The following is a 7875-nucleotide window of genomic DNA, read 5'->3' on the forward strand; positions in this document are numbered from 1 at the left end:
ATCCTCTTTTATTTCATTGAGCAATGGTTTGTAGTTCTCCCTGAAGAGGTCCTTCACGTCCCTTGTAAGTTGGATTCCTAGGTATTTTATTCTCTTTGAAGCAACTGTGAATAGTTCACTCATGATTTGGCTCTCTGTTTGTCTGTTATTGTTGTATAAGAATGCTTGTGATGTTTGCACATTGATTTTGTATCTTGAGACTGCTGAAGTTGCTTATCAGCTTAAGGAGATTTTGGGCTGAGACGATGGGGTTTTCTAGATATACAATCATGTCATCTGCAAACAGGGACAATTTGACTTCCTCTTTTCCTAATTGAATACCCTTTATGTCTTTCTGCCGCCTGATTGCCCTGGCCAGAACTTCCAACACTATGTTGAATAGGAGTGGTGAGAGAGGGCATCCCTGTCTTGTGCCAGTTTTCAAAGGGAATGCTTCCAGTTTTTGTCCATTCAGTATGATATTGGCTGTGGGTTTGTCATTTGGCACTTTTTACTGAACAGTGGATAGGCCTTTTAAGCAGTTCCTAGAATCAATAATAAAGTTATGTTCAACTTTTATCTTCCCAGGCAAGAGATTCTTGTAGTAATAATGTTATGTTAATGAAGCCAGTGGAATAGTAAACTCTTGTTCATATAGGCAGTAAGCTGTGTGTGTGGTTTCAGTTCTCATTACTTACTTTTAGATAACTTATGAGCGTGGTAGGTCATATAGGAAAGGGAAGGAGAGGAAGGGGGCCTTGATTAGCTAGTTGCTTTTTGTTAGTAAATGAGGACATATGTGTGTGTGTGTGTGTGTGTACATATATCCTATTCATACATAATAATTGTACATATTTACAGGGTACAGTGAGATATTTTGATACACATACACAACTTGTAATGATCAAATCAGGATAATCAGCATATCCACCACCTCAAACATTTAGCATTTCTTTGTGTTGGAAATGTTCAAAATCCTCTTTTATAGCTATTTGAAAATATACAATAGATTATTGTTAACTATAGTCACCCTACAGTGCTAAATAGACGACTAGAGATTATTCCTCCTATTTAGTCTTAATTTTGTATCCATTAGCTAAACTCTACCTGTTCATCTCCCACCCTTCCCAGAGTCTACTATTCTCTATTCTGCTCTCTACATCTATGAAATAAAAGCTTTTAGCTTCCACATATCAATGAGAATATTCAGTATTTATCTTTCTGTGTCTGGCTTATTTCACTTAATGTCCTCCAGGCTCACACATCTGAAGCCCATACATGTTGCCTCAAATGATGGGATTTCATTCTTTTATATGACTGAATAGTATTCCATTGTGTATACATACACCAATGTAAATTAGATTGTATTTTGTTTACTTATTTCTTTTTTATTGATACATTGTTGTACATATTTATGGGGTACATGTGACACTTTGATATATGTATACAAAGGACAATGACTAAATCAGGGTATTTAGGATATCCATCACCTCAAACATTTATCATTTATTTGTGCTGGGAACATTTCAAATCTTCCCTTCTAGCCATTTTGAAATATATGATAATTTATTGTTACCATTAGTCACCCTACTGTGCTATCAAATAGAAGTTATTCCTTTTACTTAATTGTATGTACCCATTAACCAACTTCGCTTCATCCCACCCACCCCCTGTTCCCAGCCTCTGGTCACCAAAATTCTACTCCATTAGATCAAAATTTTTAGCTCCCACATATGACAGACAACATGTCTCGAACTCCTGAGTTAAAGCGATCCTCCTGCCTCTGCTTTCCAAAGTGTTGAGATTATACATGTGAACCACCGATCACAGCTTCTGTTTTCTTTTAAGATGTACATTAAACTCACATTTGTGAGTTTTCTCCTTCAGTCAGAAGAGGAACACTGACTCTTTCATCTGCCCCTTGGAGGTAAATTTTTCTTTTTAAATAAACTATGACTCCATTGAAATTCTTATTTCAACCAAGTTTATGAAGCACTGTCTCATTTAAATTATCAGGGCTATATTATGCGAAGATTTAGAAGATTTGAAGCTCCTCCAACCCCAAATCAACTGAACCTTACTTGGTGACCTGAACCCTCACCTCTCTTCTGATTAGGCTATTTCTGCTTTGGTTGAAGATGTTCATGGATCCTGCAAGGAAAATTCAATTTCCCTAATGTCTTGACATTTCCTATAATCACCAAACCTGTAACTATAGTGGATCCTACTCAGGATAAATGTGGTTTTAAGTTTATATCCTGTCGTAGGTTATTATATAAAAAATAACTACAGGGATTTGCTAATTATATCTCCATTGTCTAGGTAATATACTTGGGAGAGGAAAAAAAGCATTGCTTCTCTTGTTTTTTGAGTGCTGGCCTTCCTCCCTCTGGCTCCCCTTGAGCAAGGGATGAAGCCATTTCTGGGGTTTGGCAAGTTAGCCTTATGGGCAGGGCATGTGGCTATTTGCTCATGGGATGTGACACTCCAGTAGGGTTGATTTTAGCTGGAGTCTGGGAAGACCATTTTATAAGGGAATCTCTGTTGCAGATTCAGTTTTAAGGAGAGCTTCTTCCACTGTGGAGGGCATAACAGGGTAATTGGCTCTACTCCAGTAAGGGCTTCAGTTTTAATTAAATGGTCATATAAGTTTTAAGGTATCACGATCATGATTGATATTAAAATGTGAAAGAGTTATACATCATATCCAGTATGGCAAAAAAAAATGAAGAGGGAAAGAAAACTGAGAGTAAGGCATCTGGAAAAGCTAAATATTTGCTTCTAAAAGTAACTGTTTTGAGGGACGAACAGCAAATTTCACAAGCTCATGCACAGTCTTTGTGATGTTCAGATATTCAGGTATTAAAGGTATATGTTAAATAATGTAGGTGTTCCTAGTATGTGAACCATTTCATCCATACTCTGAAAATATTAGTGTTCAAGAATGTATTCCCTTTCAATCATGCCTTATATTCAATATCTGTGTCTTGTTCATATTCCGTGTTGTGCTTTTTCCATTTTCCTCAAGAATGTTTAAGCTACTGGATGCTCTCTTCCTAGATATTTCACAAAAGAACGATCTATTAAATTTATTACATTTGGATTACTTTTCCTTTGGTTAATGATTCGTACCTTTCATTTACTGCCTGTTTCCTTTTCCCTTAAGTTTCTCTTGTGACTCTTTTTTTTATTTCTAAGTATTATTTTCTTGTATCATGTAATTTGCTGTCTATTTTAATAGGATACGCATATAATGCTATGACTGTCCTAAGAATACAATTCAGGCTTGTTCAATAGGCTCCTGGAAATCGTCTGTAAACTATCCTTTAATGTAAATAGTCGAATGGAATGGTTCAGCAGTGTGGAGTAAAAACATTTAGATAATTTCTTCCCTATACGTGCAGTGCTTCCTTTAAATTCAGAAGTTCTTCTAATTAAGTCAGCAATTTGGAAAACATGTATGAAAAATACTTATGTGGACTACTCAGGACTTAGTACATTATAGACTTTGAACTCTAAATCATATCATCTGATGACTCAAGGCAGAAGCCTGTAATATAACCTCTGATATGGTTAGAGGTTACCATATGTGTCTTCAATCTAATTACACACAGTAGCTCATGAAGACTGACAGGAGGACAGGGAGCATGCTTAGCACAGGCATCTTACAACCACCTTGAGCATGACTGACCTACATGCATTCTCCCTACTTCATGGGTCACAAAAACCTGACTGTCTCTATCGATTTTATTACTCAGTCATTCAAGGCTTCACTGCGGGAAGACTTTAAAATGTAATCATTGGGTCTGGCGCAGGAGGAGGTTCACCCCTGTAATCACTCCCAACATTTTGGGAGGCCGAGACGAGTGGGTCACTTGAGGTCAGGAGTTCGAGCCCAGCCTGGCCAACATGGTGAAACCTCGTCTCTACTAAAAATAAAAAAACTGGTTGGCATGGTGGCAGGCACCTGTAATCCCAAATACACGGGAGGCTAAGGCATGAGAATTGCTTGAATCCGGGAGGCAGAAGTCGCAGTGAACCGAGATCGGAACACTGCACTCCATCCTGGGTGACAGAGTGAGACCCCATCTGAAAAAAAAAATGCAATCATTGTTTAAGAGCCTGAGAGAATTCAGGATTTGACAAAATCCAAAAACACTCATGAAGGTCTCCATACAGGAAAACAAGCATCAAGCAGAGTGCCTTCTCATTTTCTTAGGAGCAATGAAATCTCAACTCAGATATTTTAATTGGACTAAAGCTGATTGTTATGATGAAAAAATCATGAAAATCAGAATATCTGTGTATTCTCTCCAACAGAACCATAGCATGCAGAAATCAGCACTGAAATGGATTTTAATCTATTTGATATGCATTCACTACTTTCAATAAAAGCAAAAATGGGTGTAGGATTGATGTGATTTGTCCAGAATCTCACAAATCGTGTTGGAGCTGGTACTAGAATCTCCTTCAGAGATCAGTATATTTCATACAAAGTGGTATTACAAATGCATTATATATTTGTGAGAAACAGAAATTACAAAGTAATCTGAAAATTGTTAGCTGTTGGTTATACTTAGAAGTAACAAAATGCTTTCCTATTTGATGGTTCAATATGGCTTTCACCCAATTTGTGTCTGTATCTGATAGTGTTTCGGCTTTGCAGTCAGGCTTCTGGGGTCTGAACCACCTTACAAATAAAGTCTGCATTTGAATTCTGTTTTTAAAGGGGCAGTAATATTCTCTCTTTTTATTATGAAAAGTGTAATATTGTGGAATACAGAAAGCACATAATTTTGAATCTTAATGGATAACATACCTCCTTCTGGCATTTTAAATTGCTCTGACTTTGTCAGAATCTTCCCCTGGACATCAGGACCATCTCCGCATTCATCCCCAGTCTTTGACTGAGACAGCTCCTGGAGATCAGCTTCCAGGTCAGGCACTAAAAAATACCAAGGAAATCGATTGGAGCAGCCAGACAAGAATGATAAATAAGGAAATGATCCTATTCTTTTCCTCAGTGTTGTGCAATAAAAGCCTGTAGGCTACTGTGGTAATAAATGTGATGCAAAGATGTCCCCGTTTGTTTTCCTGTATTATGATATCTTATTTTTAATGACAATCTGAGGATAAGTCTCAGCACACCTGCATTTCCCATACTTTACCATTGTGTATTATAAACACACAGCTACCTAGGAAACCTGAAGATGGCCTCGTGGATAGCATTTTAATCATAACTTAAATGTAATTTTCTGAAGGATTAGATCAATGTATTGGTGAGCCTATGACAAATCCTATAGTCTTGACACTCATCTCCTGTTGAGGTATCTTGAAAATGTTGTTGTTAACCTTAATTAAAGTAATTATTAGGTTGAAAGGCCCTATATGTGACTTTCCATACATGAATGTCATTAAGAAAAAATACAAAATATAACAGCAAAATCACTGTCTTCCAGTGAGAGTATGGGAACTGAAGTGCAAAGAAATTAATGGGCATTGTTGACAGTCATATTCTGGAAACCCCTTAACAGGGAATTGCTAAAATAATCCATGGCCCAAATTCTGTCTCTGATTAGTCTGAAAATGCTATCTGTTGAGGAAACAGTTTCTGTTTCATGATAATCTTATCGTACTTGAAGTTTTCTAATTATAAAAATATTAGAACAACTTTTAAAAGCCCCTTCAAAATCCTACAAACACAGTTACCTGTATGCCATTGTCCTGAATTATCCAGCTTTTACTAAACATATGGTCAAAAATATAAATCAAAGGAAACAGTGGCTGTCATCCATTGGCCTCTTTTCTGGAGTTGCTATCTTGCTTCACTGAACTGCGTTTTGCCCTGAGCCAATACCAAATTACCTTATAGTACAGACACATTTAAGTATTAAGCATTTTTAAGCAAAATCATTCACATTTTCTAAAACAGAAGGCGGGAAGAATGCAAACCTTGAAACAAAATATGAATTCCTTCTCCATGAGTCGTGTTCTTGGTAAGTCTCAACCTCTGATTCTCAGTTTTCTTATTTATTTTTTTATTTTTATTTTTATTTTTCAAGACGGAGTCTCGCTGTGTCACCGAGGTTGGAGTGCGGTGGTGCAATCTTGGCTCACTGCAACCAATGCCACCCGGGCTCAAGCAACTCTTCTGCTGCAGCCTGCTTAGCAGCTGGGATTATGAGTGTGTGCCACCATGCCCAGCTAATTTTTGTATTTTTCGTAGAGACAGGGTTTCACTATGTTGGCCAGGCTGGTCTCGAACTCCTGACCTCAAGTGATCCACCCGCCTCGGCCTCCCAAAGCACAGGGATTACAGGCATGAGCCACCACACCGGGCCTCAGTTTTATTTATAAAATGAGGTTAACATCCCTTTGCAAATGGGCTTTATTCAGGGTATTATAAGGTAGGGCGACTTGGCACTCCACATGCTATTAAAGGGTGCTTAAAACACTGTGAACACCATGGCTGAGAAGATCTCACTGCAACATCCTAAGAATATCAAGTTAAACTAGTGAAATAATGTACATTTTTATACAACCAATTAAATGGTTTCATCTGATTTAGGAAGGACTGTATTTTCAAGCCCACAAAATGCATCTCGAAGAAAAAGAGAAGATTAATCATATCCAGGGACTGCAGGAAGCTGCAAACTATACCCGTCACGTTTCCAGCCAACCCTCAGCAAATGTTTGAGATCCTTTCCTAGTGTTTTCTTTCCTCCTCTTACTGGTCATGGCATAAGGCATGATGCACACATAGGTCTCCTCCCCCCCATAGACATTCTTTCTTTCCCTTCCCACCACCTTGAATCTCAGCTGCACCCTGATCTTCTTCTGTCTTCTGACCAGGTGTACGATCCCAACTTTAAGCTGGTGGTTCTTCTTGTTGAGGCTCTGGCACACTGGGCTCCTGGGAAAAGAGGGTTTTGTGTGTGCGCGTGCAGATAAAAAATTTTTCTTATCAATGCATGTCAATAATACGAATATACAGATTACATAGATACTTCTGATCATATGCATGTTTAAAGACATGCTGCAACACTAGCTATGTGCTAGTGTAATGAGCTATGAATAAGCATGAGGAGGAAATCACTAGTCAAATCTGGGGAACACAAATTCCCACATCCAGGAAAAACCAGTATGTAGTCCTCTTGGGTTACTGTTTCCTTCATGAGATGCCGCAATGGTTTTTTGTCAACATGGGAGACCTTTATCATTGCATCTATACTAATTCAACAACACTATCACACAAAAAAAATTCTGCTAATAGAAAACATCAAATGTTAAGTCACTCACAAGCATAGGCCCAATCAGCTGAGCAAGTCGTAAACATCGTCTTGGTCTATATCATCTTCCTCGCCAACTCATATTTCAGTCTGCAAACAGAATAGTGTGCACTTTGGGAGGCCGAGGTGGGTGGATCACCTGAGGTCAGGAGTTCAAGGCCAGCTTGGCCAAAATGGTGAAACATCGTCTCTACTAACAATACAAAAACTTAGCTGGGCATGGTGCGGGTACTTGCAATCCCAGCTAATCAGGAGGCTGAGGCAGGAGAATCGATAGAACCCAGGGGCAAATGTTGCAGCCAGCCGAGATCACGCCATTGCACTCCAGCCTGGGCAACAAGAGCAAGACTCCCTCTCAAAAAAACCAAACCAAACCATAGCAAATCAAAACAAAACAAAAATCAGAATACTGTGATTGGAAAAATGGGGTACATGTGCAGGATGTGCAGCCATCAGATGGCTAGATTTTACTGTTTCACACTGTATTAGTTAGGGATCTGTAAAGGACAGAACTGATGGATAGATGTGTATGTGCAGCAGGGTTTGTTAAGGAGTATTAACTTACACAATCACAAGGCGAAGTCCCAAAATAGGCTGTCTGCAAGCT

The 7875-nt window shown here is 38.5% G+C and overlaps 1 pseudogene; it reads right to left on the reverse strand.

The window, feature by feature from the left end:
• Positions 1-2056: 2056 nt before the first annotated feature.
• On the reverse strand, positions 2057-7350 carry LOC107987327 (X antigen family member 5-like; annotated as a pseudogene).
• Between the last annotated feature and the right edge of the window lie 525 nt (positions 7351-7875).

Source organism: Homo sapiens, chromosome X (assembly GCF_000001405.40).
Source record: "Homo sapiens chromosome X, GRCh38.p14 Primary Assembly".
NCBI lineage: Eukaryota > Metazoa > Chordata > Mammalia > Primates > Hominidae > Homo > Homo sapiens.